At 46.3% G+C, this 18,065-nt stretch overlaps 1 protein-coding gene across 76 annotated transcripts in view, besides 2 other annotated features; it reads left to right on the top strand.

Moving 5' to 3' along the window:
• SORBS1 (sorbin and SH3 domain containing 1) overlaps window positions 1-18,065 on the top strand; it is a 249,599-nt gene that overhangs the window by 19,430 nt on the left and 212,104 nt on the right. The window lies entirely within an intron of this gene.
• Window positions 1,713-2,214: an enhancer, noted in NCBI's record as "NANOG hESC enhancer chr10:97299485-97299986 (GRCh37/hg19 assembly coordinates)". NCBI's record gives its function as "activates a minimal SCP1, AML or CMV promoter by ChIP-STARR-seq in naive H9 embryonic stem cells {active_cell/tissue: H9 hESC(naive)}" and the evidence as "EXISTENCE:reporter gene assay evidence [ECO:0000049][PMID:30033119]".
• Window positions 9,821-10,568: an enhancer, noted in NCBI's record as "H3K4me1 hESC enhancer chr10:97291131-97291878 (GRCh37/hg19 assembly coordinates)". NCBI's record gives its function as "activates a minimal SCP1, AML or CMV promoter by ChIP-STARR-seq in primed H9 embryonic stem cells {active_cell/tissue: H9 hESC(primed)}" and the evidence as "EXISTENCE:reporter gene assay evidence [ECO:0000049][PMID:30033119]".

The raw sequence follows: 18,065 nt of genomic DNA, 5'->3' as shown, positions 1-18,065 counted from the left end.
CAGGCTTAGGCCCTGAGTGTGTAGTGAGGATTGTGTGCAGAGGAGTCAGAGAGCACTGCGGGGGTCATGGGAGGCCTCCTTGTGGAGGGAAACTTGGACAGAGCCTTGAAGGACCAATAGGAGGGAGGAAAGGGGAGAAGGAAGGACCCTCCAAAGGAAGGGAATGACATGGGTACCTAGAGAGGGATTAGAGAGGAGATAATCCCCGCAAGAGGGGAGGGGTACATAGGGGAGCAGGGTGAAACCAGCTTGGCAGGGGTGGGTAAGACTGGTTTCTGGGGGTTGGGCATGTTGGGCAGGACAGGATTGATCCAGTGGGATAGAGGAGCCATGGCAGATTGTTGGACAGGTGAGTGGCATGAAAAAGGCATGTTAGGGCCAGAGGAATCTGGCCCTGGTGGGTGGGATGGGCTCTGGGGAGCTCAGCCTCAGCTCCTGGGCATGAGGTGGTAGGGACCAGGCAGTAGGCTTGGGAGGTTGGGGCCCTCTGCAGTTTCTTATCACGGAAGGGTTCTGGTCTTGGATGAGAGAAATAAGGCAAGGGAGGAGCTGGAGGTATTTGCAAGGTCCCAGCCTGGGAGAATGGAGATACTTGAGACAGGAGGGGTACCCGCTGTTGGGGAAAGAGGGCGTGAGTGGGGACTTGGTATGTTGAGGGCCCCAAGATCCCTCTTCTAACCCCCAGTTGTGATCTAGTGGAGAGACCTCAGGCCAGTCCCTTCATCTCCTGAGCTCCATTTCATTGTCAGCAGGAGTCACTGCCTTTACGGTTCCATCTCATCTCAGTGCAGTCATTGCAGCCCTGGGCTCAGGCAAGGGGAAGGGTCTAGGCTGAGGATTTGTGAGGCCATCCCTTAGAGGTGAGAGGAGAAACACATTGTCCTGTTCCTTGTTCTCCTGGAGTGAGCAGGAGCCTGGGGGAGGGCCTCTGGCTGACCAGCTTGGATGAGGAGTTGTGGGGAAGAAGGGGCTGTCCTGACTCAACCAGCCCATCTCAGGGTGGTTTTGAGACTCTTTGACGAAGGGGTGTATGAATTCTAAGTTTATGCAGATGTTGAGGTATGTGCACTATTCTGGGGCACAGCAGGGAAGGGGTTAATCTTCCTGAATTTGCAGAAAGGAAATTCTCAAGGTAGGGAACTGATGGCTAGTGACCTCCTACCTAACCTCCACAAAGCTAGTCTTTGGGAAACTTAAGGCCTTCGGTCTTTAGAGACAGAGTCTACAGGGAGGGCTTCCTGGCAGAGGAGGACTTGGACAGAGCCATGAAGGATGAATAGTATGTGAGAAAGGAGAGAAGAAAGAACTTTCCAGAATGACATGGAGTTATAGTACAAAATTCACAGAAGAGATTCCAGAAAGGAAGGCATATGTTTTTGAATACCTAGTATGCCTACCAGCTCTGTTTGTCAGGTGCTTTCATGATCTTTGTCTTGTTATCTTTACACCATTTCTGCCTCTCTTATTAGCCCATGTTACAGATAAGGCAGTAGGATTAGAGGGGTGAACCACTTTGCCCAAGGTCTCAGTGGTAGGGTGGGATTTCATTTTATTCAGATTTCTGACTCCAATGGCAACAAATAGCCATGCCACTATATTCTGCTGGCTCTCTGGGAATATAGGAACAACAGATAATGATTTGTCTACATGACTTTATTCCCAAGTTAAACACTTACCTAAAACGCGGCTGCGGCTGCCACCCCTGCTGCAGCTTTGCAGTACTGTGCAAGACCTTAGAGGCCAGTGATGGGAGGCCGTTAGAGCTCCTCTGAGTCTGAAACCCTCATTTATAGATGAGGAAACTGAGGCCCACAAAGGAGAAGAGAATGTGCCAAGGTTAGGGGCAGAATGGGAATGAGAACTAGAGGAGTCTGGAGACTTTGGCGCTTGTGGCTGTTTAAAGGCCCCCTAGGCTCCCTGTGTAAAAGTATGTTTTTAGACAACAATGGGAACCTTTGTCTGGAGGGTTGGTCTGACCAGGGTTGAATATGAAAGGGTCTGTGTGTATGTGTGTTTCTTTCCTTTGCTTTAACCTCAGATACCTTTGAACTAGCAGGAAGGATTCTTTCAGACCAAAGGTTAAGACTAAAGGCATTTAACAGGTGGAAAGAGCATAGGAAGGAGGGGGAAGATCAGAAGCCACAGAAATAGAAGACTAAACTCCAGGCTTGGATAAAAGGAATTTTCCAAGCCTGTAAATAATCACTAACGTTTATTGAACACCCACTGTGCCAGGCAGTCTTTACATGTCATTTTATGTAACTGCCATCGCTTCCCCATGAGGTAGGTGCTGTTTAATTGTTCCCATTTTGCAGATGAAGGAACTGAGGCTCCAAGAGTCTAAGTGACCTATTTAAAGTCATGGAATTAGTACAATGTAGAGCCAGGACTCCAACTCACCAGATCCTAAACTCTCCCTTTAACTCCCAAGGCATTTTATTGGACTAGGTGCTCCCAGGTGCCTGAGCATATGAGGATATATGAAATAGCAAACTTAGGGAGGTCATCCTTTGGCAATGGTTCTCATGGGGATGTGGATTTTACCCCTAGGAGACATTTGGCAGTGTCTAGAGTCATTTTTGGTTGTCACAAATCTTACTGGCATATAATAGGTAGAGGCCAAGCATGCTTCCGAACATCTTAGAGTGGACAAGATAGCTCCTCGTAACAGAGTTACCCCATGCAGAATGTCAGCAGTGCTGAGGTTGAGAAACTCTGGCCTTTGGGATCCTGGTTGTATCGTTACCACTCAGAGCACAGTGCTAGTGGAAGGTCCCATCTGAGGAACTTGAGTTGTTGCTTTAGCTCTAGAGACTTAAATTGTACCTTACTGAATATTTATAGTTTGGGTTTGTCACTGACTGAGACTTGATGGGCCAAGGTGGGGCTAGTGGTGGGTAGAGGCTGGAAAGAAAAATTCTAGCAAGGTGTGACCAGCCATGGTGGCCTAGGGCTGCATCTTAGTTGCAGCAGGTGAGAGGTGGTTGGGGTCCACTCCAGGCTGCTGAGAATTGATTTGCTCACTTCATATGTAACTGAAATAAGAATTCAGATGCAGCTAATTGTGCTTTTGTAAAATTTATTTTTATTTTTTTGTGAGACAGGGTCTTGCTTTGTCACCCAGGCTGGAGTTCAGTGGCACAATCACAGCTCATTGCAGCCTCAACCTCCTGGGCTCAAGTGATCCTCCTGGCTTGGCTTCCCAAAATGCTGTAATTGTGCTATTTTTTAAAAAAATTAAGTTATTGCTCTGACTACTCAGCATCAGAAACCTCCGAGGAAGGGTTACATGTTGCAGATACACTCAGATACAAGTATGCTGCTTGCCAAATTCCTCTGTTACCAGTTACTGTTTAATCTAACTCGAGTCAGCCCCTATCCACTTGGAGAATAGCGCACAAATGTGGGGAGCCCCAGGACCCTTGGCTTTTACTGGAGCCTCCCATGCTGAACTGGTCAGTCAGAGCAGCCCGTCTCCTGAGGGCAGTGCTGAGGAAAGGGGCCACTGCGTTACCCTGACTGCTGTTGCTTTCCGCTCCCTCTTCCAGGTCAGACATGGAAAGGTGGCTCTGTGGACATATCTCAGATGGTGACCTCCCCAGGCCTAATTTCTGCCCCAGCGCAGCCGCTCCCTCTGTAACACTGATTGAGTGCTAGCACTGCCTTGTCAAGCATCTGCTGTGGCCACAGACACATAATTATGGCCCTGCCTTCACCTTGCCGGCCACTTCCTTTCTATCACCTGGGACTCACCCCAAGGCCTCTTTCATGAAGCTCTCTGATCCCTCCAACTAACAGTGTCCCTTCACAAGCACCTTTTTTTTTTTTTGGAGACAAAGTCTCACTCTGTCCCCCAGGCTACAGTGTAGTGGTGCGATCATGGCTCACTGCAGCCTCAACCTCCTGGGCTCAAGTGATCCTCCTACTTCAGCCTCCCAAGTCACTGGACTGCAGGTGTGAGCCACCATGCTTGGCTAATTTTTTTTGGAGAGATGGGGTTTCGCCATGTTGCCAAGGCTGGTCTCGAACTCCTGAGTTCAAGTGATCCGTCCACCTTGGCCTTGCAGAATGCTGGGATTACAGGTGTGAGCCACCACACCGGCCTCTTTTGGCTTTTTATCCAGTCATTAAATTCTGAGTCTTTCCTGGATCACCTTCTGACCTCTCCAGTGGCCCAGCCACTCACTAGCTGTGTGACCGCAGGTGAAGCAGCACAGCACTGAATCACTTCCCTTCCAGCATCAGGGTGGAATGAGAGTCATAGTTGTGGGACCTGGGGTGTTGTTCCTCTCAGGTCAGTGGAAATTCAGGTTCTCCTTTGATCTCATACAGATTAATGGAGAATTGAGAACTAGTTGTTAGCAAACTCTCTTCAGATTAAGTAAGTAAGCTTCTTTAATATTAATTCTTCACCTAGCAAATGTTTGTTGAGTACCCGCTCTACCCAGGGGCGTGTGATAGGTTTAGCAGGGGTGGGAAATGGACCTCTTTGGCCTAGCCCTCAAGGAGCTTACTACAGCCTTGTGGGGTGGTGGTTGTGTCTGTTCAAAACCATAACAGGGTGGCTTCTCCAGCATGTCACTGTGTGTCTTCCTTAGGACCAATTATCACGGTTATGTGAGTGTGCATGCACCTCCCCCAACACTTGAATTAAAGTTTCAGGGAGATGGAATTTTTTCAGTCTTTTTCACCATGTGCCATAACAAGCAGGCAGTACATATTTGTTGGATGAATGCAGTAATGAATGATACTAGTTAAATTCTGTTTTGAATGCAGGGTGAGATTTAGACCTACCTAGATGGATAAGGGGGCGTTACAGACTGGTGGGGATGGGGATGGGTGGAGGCAGGAGGAGGGACTGCCGTGAGCAAATGGACAGAGACAGTGAAGCCCAAGGCATGCTGGGCACCTGCAGGCCCACTGTGATTAGACCATGTGGCACAGTCAGAACGCAAAAAGACTGTGAAGTAAGTCGGACCCAGATGGTGGAGAATCTTGAATTCAAGCCGTTAGAGGGATTGGATTTATTCTATATAGTAGGATGACCTTGTGGTCCAGTTTCCCAGGGTGCTTCGTCCCAATGTGACTATTACTAGTGCCCCCTTTTCCTCTTAAGTGTCCCTGCTTGGATGATAAATTACATGGTCTTGCAATCCTCAAGGCCATATGGCACCCCTGAAGGTTTCACAGTGGGCCATGGTCAAGCTGGTCTTAGGAAGGTCAGTGTCCACAGTGCCTGCTGGAGTCTAGGGGCAGGAGATGAGATGTCTCCTGGTCTAGGCACTTCAGGCCTTAGCTGGAGGAGCTGTAGTGACTTCTGAAAGGAGGAGATGGTTACAAAAGAGATTAAAAATCCAAGTGACACCCACACATGGTCTCTAAAAAGGCTCCAAAGTGGCTCTTCCAGCATAGACCCATTCTAAAGTTCAGGGATCCCGGACAGGCATTTTTCTAACTTGAGGTTATGACTGATTAAAAAAAACCCCCAAAAAACCAAAAAAAACATTGTGCCTACTTCCTGAGCAATTAGAAGTTAAGAGAAGCTTCTGCCCAGCCTCTAAAATGGCCTGGTGGAACTCACTGGTATTCACTTTCCTAAACCCCGGCATTGTTCCTTGGAATTCAAAATAGGTTATGAATGTGCTTGATGTCAGGAAAGATAAATCTGTGAGGAGGACTGTAGTCAATACATTTCCTTTTTAAGTAGAAACAATATAAAGAGCTTAATTCAGCCCTGAATCAATCTCACTTTGTTGCCATGATTGTGTAAAACCTGAACTGCTTTACGTCTGTCTTACAATGTTTATATTCCCCTGATGTTCCCCGTCTCAGCCGGCCGTGCAGAGTCCCAGCCTTTTTAGGCCATGCACGGCTCTCTCTTCTTGAGGCTGTTTTCTTGTGTGCTGCCAAAGGGCTGTGCGACGAGCAGTGATTTTATTTCATATCTAGGGGTTCTCTTCAGGGTGGCTATTCAGTGGTGCCCGCAAATGAGCTTCCTTGTCTAAGCAAGTTGGAAGGCTAAATTCTTTTGCCTTTTCCTTTCCATTAAAAGATTATTAAATGTAAAAATAGTTTGATACATACACATGGTTTGGAAATTAAGGCACTATAAAAATGTATACATTGAAAAATTTCATTCTTACCCCTGCTGGGTCCCCTATACTCCCTCCCTCACCCCACCTCCATTAGCTGGAATGAACTAGTTTGTCCAGAGCAGTTCCGGTTTACCTTCTTTGTTCCAGTGAATGATCAATCACACCCTCTTTCATTTTCAAAAGTGTCCCAGTTTAGGTGATGAATTATATATTATCCAACAGATAGGTAGTTACTTTTATCAGTTTCTTGCGTATCCTTCCAAGATTTCTATATGCAGATACATACATGGGGAATGTGTATAATATATATATATTGCTTTTGCCTCTTAACAATGGATCCTAGAAAACTCTTATCAGTACAAATGGAGTGTCTTCATTCTGCTAAACTGTCTTTGGAGAGTAATGTTTGTAGAGACTGATAGTTAGTTGCCTTTCCCTTGGTTTATCAGTTTAATTGCTGTTTAGGGCCTGCTTCTCTTTATCTAGAGAGAGATGGTAGGCTATAGGAAGTGAAGGCAGATTCCTTCACTTAGGAAAACCCAGTTCAGTAGTAAACCCATCCAGGATGCATTTGTGAAGCACCAACTTTATGCCTCCCTAACATGGTACTAGGCACTTTGGATGAAGTGGTCTCTTCTTCATCTCCACTTGTTCACATCCTTCAAGTTCTAGCTCAGATGCCTTAGCCCTCATGAAGCTTTCCCTGATTTGCTGGCCAGAATTCCTGGGCATCTGTATCCATCTACTCATCCATCCATCTCTCCACCCATCATCCATCCATTCATTTATCCATTTCATCAACTAGTGCTTATTGAGTCCCTCCTTGTACCAGGACTTGTGCTAGATATGTGAGGATGAACGAGATGTTGAGTCTCTTGCTACGGGAGACAGACAGATATGGTGCAGTGTGGTAGCTGCAATGATAGTTATATGCCGAGGGTGTTGGGGAAGCACAGAGTGGAGGGTGCCTGATCACTGAACTTGGGAGTGTAGGGAGGTCTTCTGAAGAGGACACTTCCCCTAATGGTACTTGCTTTTCACTTTCTCCTCTGTGTTTGCCTTATCCTCACTGTTAGACTGAGATGCTTCGTGCTTTCTTCAGCTCTGGCCCCCTCCCTTGTCACTGCAACCCCTAGTGTAGCCTTCTTCATTTAATAGTCACTCAAATACTTATTGAATGGGGAAAAAAAGCCAAAATGAATTAAATAGGCCTACCCGAAGGATCTTAACATCAAAAAGAGCAGGTGAGATGTTCTTTGCTGCCCTTGGCCTTCACGGTTTATTCACACAACTCATGTCCTGAAAGGGCTTCTCTAAATTGGTGCTGATGCCTCCTTCCAGTCTCCTTTTATCCACACCACACAGTCTCTGCCCCCTGATCATCCCTTAGCATTGCCATGGTAGGAAACCCCTATGACTCTGACTAGTGTTGAAGGAGCTGCATGGGCCGGGCGCGGTGGCTCGTGCTTGTAATCCCAGGACTTTGGGAGGCCGAGGAGGGCGGATCATGAGGTCAGGCATTTGAGACCGGCTTGGCCAGCACAGTGAAACCCTGTCTCTGCTAAAAACACAAAAATTAGCTGGGCATGGTGGCAGGCACCGGTAATCCCAGCGACTCGGGAGGCTGAGGCAGGAGAGTCGATTGAACCCGGGAGGTGGAGGTTGCGGTGAGCCGAGATCACGCCACTGCACTCCAGCCTGGGTGACAGAGCTAGACTCCATGTCAAAAAAAAAAAAAAAAAAAGGAAAAAGCTGCATGATTGGGGGCCCCAAGTCCCACCCCCTCTCTGGTCTTGGTTTACTCTTGGAATTAGGGGCATAGCTGTGACCCCTTAGGATTTCTGGATATTTGACATTTCAAAAACAATGATTTCTAGACAGCCTGGTGGCTCAGCCAGCTCCTTCTTTTATCTTCTTCTAATAAATCCAGCTTCCTTTGCCATTTCCTGGTGCCACAGGGGGTGATCTGTCCAGGATAAGAGATAGCCAGGCCAGGAAAATGACCTTTTAATAAAGTTAAAATGGCCACCGGGAGAGCGGGACGGCCAGTCATGTGGCCGTGAGCCTGTTTGCTGTGCTGTGTGCTGAGGTCCACAAGAACAGAGGTCCAGGTAGACTCCAGCTGTGCAGCTGTGGAGGCAACCAGCAGCAGTGGGTTGTCCTGGGAGAGAATTTTGGCTGAATGTTAGCAGACGGTTTCCTAAAACCACGCAGAAGCAGCCTTTTAGGGGAAGAGGTGCTATTTGTTTGACAGCTCATCACTCCCCTTTTGGTTGTCCTCATCTGTTCTTTCTGCAGTTTTTCACAAGTGAAAAAGTGGGATGGTGTTTCTCTGGTAAGTCCATTTTGGACTGTGGCATAGTGTTGTCTGTGTGCCTGGCATTGCACTGGACATCTCTACATTCCATTAAATCACTGGTTCTTAAACTTGGGGAGCGTAAGAATCCCCTGGGGTGCTTGTTAAAAATGCATATTACTCTCTGGTGGACCCAAAACTCGTGATTTTTAATATATTCCCTAGGTTATGCAGGTCATACCCAGATTTTTTCAGCTGCAAGTCAGAAACCCTAAGTCAGATTGGCTATGTTTTGCAGTGGGCAGGCCTATGCGAACCTACCCCCAAAGTTCAAGGATGCTGACAGGCTGAAGAAAGAGGCTGATTTATCTAGTTTCTCAGAAAGAAACATTCAATAGGGACTTATGAACAGAAACCATGTCTGTGTCTCGGATGGTGGTGAGACAAGATGGTGGATCCCTGCGCTATTACCCCCAAGACCCAGGGTTTATATACGGTACCATAGGGAGGGAGTGACTTACGAAGGGATGTGTAGGACATTTGAAGCATGATAATATCAAGGTTGTTTTCACCTAAGGGCAGGATTTATGTACAGTCTCTTAGACAAAGAAGAACCGATACACTGGAAATCTTAGAGGCCTTCCATGAACAGTGGTTAATCAGAAGTCAATGTGATGGATTAACATTCAAGATGGAGTTGTCTAGCCTGCACAGGATGACAATAGGGAAATTCATTGTCTTTCAAACAGGAGTGGTTTCATGTGGACTGCAATGTGAATCATGCCCCCTGGAGTTGTGCAATGGGGCCATTCTTAATCCAGACACTGGGCGGGTTTGGGATTGATTGTTTCAGTGGCTTGGTGATGTCAACAAGACCCCAGCTTCTTCTCATCTCTGTCATCCTTGGCATTATCTTCATTTGCAAGCTGGGAATGAGACAGCCACAGCATTTCCAAGCATCTCAGACACAACATTCTTGGAAAGAAGGGTATAAATGGATTCTGGTGCTTCTTCTCAGGAGTCAGGAAGCTTTTGGAGGCACCACCAGCTCTCTTCTCATCATGCCCTCTTGGCTGGAGTTGGGTTACATGTCTTCCCTGAGTCAATCACTGTTGACTGAAAGGGGATCCCATTTCCTGAGCCATCTGGAGGTGGGGTGGGTACCTGAACAGAGTGGAGGCTCTGTCAGGAAGGAAGGAGCAGGAACCAGAGGCCGGGAAGGTTCCCAGCAGGGCCTGAGGTGCAGGGGGTGTGCAGGCCACCCTTGGAGAAACCCTTCCTTCCACCATCCTGGACAGCTGGGGGTTGTTGGTGAGGTTATCTGTGTCGTGCAGATGAGGAAGTGAGGCTCAGTGAGGGTTAGTGGCTTGTCTTAGATAACAGGCCTTGTAGGTTGTGGGGGTTGGGACTGAGGGAACCTGGGGCATTTGAGAGGCCTTTTTAGCCCCAAGAGAGTAACCATCCCCTTTTGCCTTCCTAAGGTGTCCAAGCTGCCCCCTTCATTTCTGATTTCTCCTCCATGACTGCATTTATTTGTGGCAGGAGGCTTTCCTGAGTATTTCTTATGGGACGAAATCTCAGGGCATGAGAAAAATACATATACTGTGTTTTCCCCTCCAAGTTGACTTTGCCTGAAAGTAATTGAAATAATATCAGTTCCTATTCGGGGAGAGAGTTAAAATAATAAAACGTAACTTAAGAGGTCGTTGTTAGGATTTAAGGTCACACAATGCACATGTTGGCCCCTGTGCATGTTATCTTAAATCCTAACAACAATCCCTTAAGTTAGGTTTTATTATTTATATTGTGTGGTGGGGAAACTGAGACCTGGGAAGGTGAAGTTGACTGTGGTGGATTGCACAGCTCGTCTTCGGGGGTGGACCCGGGACGGGGGCTGCCTCGTTGAAAGTCCGTGCTGCTTCTCCATGCCACGCTGTGGCTTATCAGCAGCCACCAGCCTTGTTTTGCCCCTGAAGGCAGGTTCTCAGGGAAAGAGGTTTTAGTGTCAAAAGAGTTCCAAATGAGCTGAATGTTTCCTATGGGAATAATTCTCAGAGCATTAGGAAAAAATATCCTGACCATAATAAACACAAGAAAGAATCAGGAAATCTGGTTTGTTATATAGCAGCTAAAATGCAAATAGGGAAATCTCTCAAAAAGGTTTCAAGGGCTGTTGGCTTTGAAAATGGAAGGCCCCAGTTAAGACGGTGAGAAAACCGTACTGGGTCCAGGAGACGACTGATACATGTGGCCACTGTGGCAGCAATGAGTGGAAAGTCTGCACACCTTGCTGTGAGCCCCAGTTCTGCTGCTTTTGAGCTGTGTGACCTCCGGCAAGTCGCTTAGCCTTTTAGGGCAGTTTCTGCACATGTGAAATGGGGCTCTGGCTCGCAGTTTGGTGGGCAGAGGGAGCCTGGCCAGCTGCACAAGGCCTTGCAAAGGTGAAGGAGTAGCAGGTGTAAACCACAGAGTTGGCACCTCTGAGTTGGAAGTTTAGTGCTGCTCTACCTGGCTGCGAGCTGGTAGTTGCCTAGAGTGCGGGGATGTGGCAGAGCATGGCAGAGCAGGCTGAGGGCAAAAGTCTGGCTTTGACTTCTCAAAGAGAAACCGTCTTTGCCTGAAAAGCCCCTCTCTAGCTGTGGATGTTTGGAGAACCTCCCTTGGTGCTTTGCCTGGCCTGTGCACCAGGGAGTATTGTATGGGGACCGATGTCCTCCACAGATGCCCCAGGGCAGGTAACATGTACAGGGTGGGCAGAGATAAGTGCTCGGTTCTCAGTACAGACCTGTGGGAAGGTCTGAGACTCGGGAAGCTCTGGCTAAGCTGGGAGGAGGGAGTTGAAGGAATGTGTTGAGGGTGGACCACAGGTGTGTTGGGGTATTCACAGGGGAGGACCTTTCCAAGTGCTGCCAATACAACTCTCTGATCATGGTGGCTCTGGAGAGAAGGTGACTTGACTTTTCAGATTTGAGCAGAGGAAATACTAAAGTATTTCTTTACCCCAGCAGAGCACATCTACAACTTTGTAGGGTTTTGAGTCTGTAGTGAGATATTTTAGATTAGTTTCTCCCTTTCATTCTTCCTGCCTCCCTCCGTTTATTGAACACCTTCTAAACATTTGTTGAGCAACTTCTGCATGGCAAGCTGAGCTAGGGGCTGAGGTTTCAAAGACAAAATCATTGCTCTCAAGGAGTTGTCTCATAGGTAAACAAGATGATTACAAAGCTGTGTGATAAGTACTAACAGGTAAGTACAGGGTCCTCTGGGAGAGGTAGGAAGGAACACCTGGTTGTGTCTGGTGGGAGGAGGTGACACCTGAGCTGGAGCTGGGATGAAGGGAAATGCAGCAGGTGAACCAGCGTCTTGGAAGGCATTCTATGCAGAGGGTGGTAACAGCGTTCATTCTTGGAATAAAAGAGTTCATGAAGACTTTCTATGTGACAGTGGTGATGCAGAGATGGATGGGACCCAGTCCCTGCCCTGCAGGTGTTCACAGTCAGGTGAATAGGAAGTGGCAGTGCAGGTGACAGTGTTTGGGGTGTAGACAGAGTTCTGTGGCAAGAAACACAGGGGCCCTGCTGAATCCAGTTATTGCTATTCGCTTATCAGTCTTCCTTCCAGGGGACCTCTTTTGCAGGTTCTTTCATTGGGAAGAGGCTCTGTTTAAGGACCTAGCTTGCTGTCTGCTGCCCTAGGGGCTGACCATGCTCTTCAGCAATTTGGGTTATAATGTGAGGCATCTATTCTTATTTCTAGCTTTCTTCCTTGTGGAGCCATTATTGGACTTAGGAAGTTGGACTTGGGCAAGTCACTGCACTACTTTGGGCTTCATTTTTCTTACTTACAAAAATAGCCCATTGGACCAGGTCAGCGTTTCCTCAAGAGTTGTCTAGGGACCACCTACCTTTGAAAGGCATGGGGTGCTTACTGAAATATGGAGTCCTTATGGGGCAGTGCCTTTTTTGCGTTCATACAGTTAACCTTTTTAGGGGCTGGGCCTGGGGTTCTGCATTTATCAAGCACTCCAGGTGATTCTTAAACATCTTAGAGTTTTGGGACCTCTGGGCTACAAGATTTCAACCTGCAATCTTTTCCTCCCTAATCTCCTCAGCTGTATGTCTACAGGAACTGGACAATAAAATGTTAGCTTTTTGAATGTTTTATCGTTGCAGTGATGCCCTCGGCAAACTGCTTGGTAGTTTAAGTGTCCAGAATCTTGACAGTGTATGCTTATGAACTGTTTCTGCAGGCTGTTTTTGATATTCCTTAAGGAAGAAAAGCCTTGTTAACAGGCACCTGAATGTGGCTGTCAGAATCTGTTTAAGAGCTGAATCATGACAGCAAACACTCATCTCAGCCTTTCATCTCTGGCTTTGGAGTATATGACTGGCTTCCCTTTTCTGAGTCATTCTCTCTTGGCCTCCTACATTCTGAAGAGGTCATTTGCATTGTCTAACATGGGAGCCAAAGGTTTCAACTTCTCTGACAAATGGAATCTCCGCTTTGGTTCCAAACTGACCGTCTTTGTAGGGTCCTCCAGGGAGTTCTCAGTGTTTTAATAGCTGCTGTGTGGGTTCTCATTTGTTGGTACTGTGGAAACAGTTTTTTTTTTTTTTTTTTTTTTTTTTTTTTGAGACTGAGTCTTGCTCTGTCGTCCAGGCTGGAGTGCAGTGGTGCGATCTTGGCTCACTGCAACCTCCACCTCCCGGGTTCAAGCGATTCTCCTGCCTCAGCCTCCTGAATAGCTGGGATTACAGGCATGTGCCACCATGCCCAGCTAATTTTTGTATTTTTAGTAGAAATGGGGTTTCACCATGTTGTCCAGGCTGGTCTGGAACTCCTGACCTCAGGTGATCCACTCACCTCGGCCTCCCAAAGTGCTGGGATTAGAGGCGTGAGCCACTGCGCCCAGCCAGAAACAGTTTTTAATATACAAAGTAAGTAAATAAAGAGTCTTAGGCTTTATATGGCTGCCTGGGAGTCTTCCCCAGTTTCTTATCCTTTCCCCTTGGAAATCTAGTGCCTCTAAGACTTCACAGTGTTGGTGATGTTGAGAAGCTGTTGCCTAAGAACCATTCTCAGGATGACCCCTTTATATCATTCAGGTGTGAGTGAAATGGATTTTGGACAAGGGCTGGGCCAGGCACAGCACTGTGTTCTGACCCGTTACGAAGAGGTAAACCTTGACAACTGGTATCCTAGACCTTAAAAATTAAAAATTTTCATCTGGGTCTTGGTTCACTCCTCATTCTATTATTCTGTGTTTTGGTTTTCCTTGATGAAATCAATCTGTAAACACAGCTCTGCACTAGTAAATTTTAATGAAGCCCTCGACATTACCCAGGTGGGGGAAATTCAGAGCTATCTTTAAACAATGTGGTAGTTGCAGGTACACACCCAAGAAGGCAGAGAAGGGCATGAGCCTTCTCTGTATTCTCCAAGGGTCTTGCATAGTGTTCTGCCCACAGTGGGTGCCCAGAAAGTGGCTGTTAGAAGAATGGACTTTTAAAAAATAATAGACTGATAATTAAACTGGCAAAGGTATGGAATTCAAAGGGTGGCTCAGTGTGGTTTTGGATTTGCCCTTGGTTCTTCCTCAAGTTTAATTTTCATGGAGATATCAATTAGATGCAGGATTAGTTGCAATGCAGAATGGCAGAGAGGGGAAAAGGCAGACGTCGTATGCATTTTAAGTTCTTGGGTACATCTGTTAGTTGTTTATTATTTGCCAGTCACTTTGTTAGACAATCCCAAGAGGTTGACAAACCACTTCCTTTTGTGTCCAGGGAAATTGAGGCTGAGAAGTGCAACAATTGGTGTAAACTTATGTAGTGAAGCTATTGGCAGGCTTGCTGACCAGTAGTCAAGAAGGATTCATAGAGTGCCGCCTCTCTACTGGATCACACAGGAGTTAAATTTAGCTTTGTGAAAAATATTAGAGGTGATGGAGATCAACTATACATTGTCTTGGGGTGTATAGTTGCTTTGTGACATTTCTGTTACATGGCTATTTGGCCTCTGCTTGCATCTTTCCAAGGACAGGGAGCTCACTACTTATTGAGTCAGTTCATTTTATTTTTTGAATTATTTTAATTGTTAAAATTCTTAATTAATTAATCATTTTTGAGACAGAGTCTCACCCCGTTGCTCAGGCTGGGGTGCAGTGGCGTGATCTCGGCTCACTGCAACCTCCGCTTCCTGGGTTCAAGTGATTCTCCTGCCTCAGCCTCCCGAGTAGCTGGTATTACAGGCACCTGCCACCATGCCTGGCTAATTTTTGTATTTTTTTAGTAAGGACGAGGTTTCCCCATGTTAGCCAGGCTGGTCTCGAACTCCTGAGCTCAAATGATCTGCCCACCTTGGCATCCCAGAGTGCTGGGATTACAGGCATGAGCCCCTGTGTCCGGCTAATTGTTAAAATTCTTTCATATGAGCTGAAATCATCCTGTAATACAGTTTTCTCATTTAGAACCCATGTCACACTAGTTTTTACACCCCATGATTCATTTCGTCATTCAAACGTATGTATTGAGCACCGACTGTTTTAGGTTCAGGAGGAATACGAGTAAACAAGATAGATAAGGTTTTTGCCCTCTTGGAATTTAGAGCCTGGTGTTAGTACAGTGGAAAGAAGATTGAACTATATGTCAGAAAACCTAAGTATAAGCCAAAGAATTTTACAGAAAGAAAGAAAAGAAGAAGTGAAGATTATATAACACTTATAAACTTGGCTAAGACACTTGAGTATCAGTTTTCACTTCATTTAACAGAGGACATTATCCCATTGGACCTTCCAGAACAGTGAAGGCTCGCTGGAATAATGTACCTTGAAAAATGTTAATTGCTATGTATTACCAAGAGGAGTAGTAGTAGCTCTTGCTTCTGTAGAGTAGTTCTTAAAGCATGGTTCTTGGACCACCAGCATCAGTATCACCTGGAAACTTGTGCAAATTCTCCAGCCCCACCCCAGACCTGCTGATTCAGAAACTCACAGGGTGGGGGCCCCAAAATCTTTTTTACAAGTAATCCAGGTGAATTCGATGCCTTTCCTAGTTGGAGAACTACTGCTGTGGGTTAGAGCAATAATTCTCAGCCTTGCCTGCACATTGGATGCGCCTGAGAGAGGGGGGCGCTTTCAAAACTATATCTGTTCCCCCCAACTCCCCTCAAAAGTTAGATCAGGATCTGTGGTGGGGCCTGTGCAGAGGCTGCCCAGGTGATCTGCAGGTGCGCCAGGTCTGAGAATGCTGCTGTGGCCACAGGGCCCAGCCCGGAGGGACAGGGGATTAAGATAAGGTGCGGCAGCCTTGGAGTTACCTGGGTTGGTTTGAGTCTGAGCTCTGCCCCTTCCTGGCTCTGTGGCCTTTGGCAAGAGGACTCTGGCCTGAGTTTCCTTATCTGCGTAGTAAGGATAAAAATGCCCATCTCTCAGGGTTGTTGTGACAGTCGATGAGATGATGTATGCAAGCCTGCAAGCATGTGTCAGGCACAGGGTTGGTGAAGGAGGACTGAACTTATTGATGGTAGCTGTGGGTATCTGAGGGTGATGGTGCTCATCTTTCCCTGCAGCCCTCTTTGCTCCATATTAAGCCTCTTTAGTTCTTCCATCCGGGACATAAATTCCAGCCCCCCTTTTTAGAAAACTCCATTTTGTCCGTTTCTCTCTTTAAAAGGTGGTATCCAATTAGACAATATCTATCAAAATTACAAAGATACCCACTTTATCCTATAATTCCACTTTGTGGAATCTGTCCTACAGATATACCTGCATATGTGAAAAAAGATGTATGTCCATTTCTGACAGCATTGTTTGTGGTAGCGAAAGACTGGAAAACCTAAATGTCCATCAGTATAGTGTCTTCATGCAATCAAAGACTGTGCAGCCACAGAAAGAAATGAGGCAGCTTTTTAAGTACTGACATGGGACTCTGTAGCATATATTTTTTATGTGAAAAAATAATGTTAAGCTGTATGGTATGCTATCATTTGTGCAAAAACAGGACAGGACATTTGCTTGTATGTGCATATACTACACCTGGAAGGGTACAAAAGCAATGGGTAATGTTGGTTGCTTTTGACTTGGGGGTGGAATAGGGACTTTTCACTATAAACCATTGGGTGTCTTTTAAACCATGTGACTGGAATCTATTAAAAACAATACATTAAAAGAAGTGTGGTGCCCTGAGCTGAATCCTCCACTTGTGGCCTGACCACAGCAGGGTACAGTGTGAGTATTACCATTTTTTCTGTGAACCAGATGCTGTCCTACTTTTAATGCCTTTGAAGATTGTATTACTCTGGGCACTGTGGGCTCTGATGAACCTTGTGGTCAGGATGGCACCCTTCTCTGTTTCCCATGAATGGTTGCCAGGGCAGGTCTCGTGGACTTCAGGAAGTTTAGACCTGCCCCCAGCCCGTACTTTTGCACAATCGGCTTTGTTTTTCGCCCAGAATGCTGGGCTGTTAAGGTCATTTGAATCTTGATTCTGGCATCTATAGCATTAGCTCTTCTTCCCAGTTTTGTGCCATCTGAAGGTTTGATAAGCCTGCCCTTCATGTCTGTCTCTAGTCAAGTCATTGTTAAAAAGACAGTGGACAGTGTGTGCCTAAGAATTGAACCCTGCGTCATTCCACCAGTAACCCTTCTCTAGCTTGTCATCAAGTCATTAGTGATGCCAATGTATACATTTACTCACCAGATGTTTATTATGTGCCCATTATGTGCCAGGCACTATGCCAGTGCCGAAGGTATAAAGGAGTAAGACAACTGTCCTGCCTGGAAAGAGATCATCAGCTTGAAAAGAGATCATGATTGGCACACTTTTTCTCTAAAGGCCTAGATGGTAAATATTGTCAGCTTTGCGGGCCATACATTCTCTGTTGTAACTATTCAACTCTGCCATTGTGGCACCAAAGTAGCCATAGACAAGATGGAGACAAGTGGCGTGGCTGTTCCTATAAAACTGCAAAAACAGGTGACGGGCTGGGTTAGGCCTGTGGGTGTGTTTGCTGACACCTGGTCTAGTAGAAAGACAAGTAACTCAATCAAGTTTAATAAGTGCTCTGAGAGCATATGCACAGAGCACAATGGCGGCCCAAAGGAGGGAGTGATGTACGGTCAGTGGGGTAGTAACCACCTGGCTACATAGACAGTGGTGCAAGCAGCTTCACTCTGTTTCACTGTCTTATCTACAAGTGGATCATAGGAGGTTTTTCTAGATGCTTTGCTGAAATCTAGGTGCATGATATCTTTGGCATCTCACCTGATCTACCAACTTGGTAACCACAAGAGAAAAATCGATTGGTTTTGGCATGCCTTTGTCATTGTGGACGCACATTGCCTTTTCCCAACATTCACATTTTTTTCGAAATGTTCCCAAACCATTTGTTCTATAATTTTGCCGGGAACCATTATTGGTCTGTAGTCGTCCAGGCTTATTTATTTGTAGATATCAGGATCACCCACTTTCCTGCTTTAAAATTGAGACATTGGCCCATGTCTCCTACTCTTAGACCCCGAACTTTGTGTGATTTTGAAGTTGATCAATAGCAGTTCTAAGAAACTTTTATAATCAGTTAAATATGCACGAAAGAAATTATATGTTGTCAAAAGAAAAGTTGGAGCCACATCAAAAAGTGGAAATCAGCCATGGTCTTGCTGCTCCAGTGTTATC

Source organism: Homo sapiens, chromosome 10 (genome assembly GCF_000001405.40).
Source record: "Homo sapiens chromosome 10, GRCh38.p14 Primary Assembly".
In the NCBI taxonomy this organism is placed as follows: Eukaryota; Metazoa; Chordata; class Mammalia; order Primates; family Hominidae; genus Homo; species Homo sapiens.
This window is presented reverse-complemented; position numbering and strand designations above follow the sequence as displayed.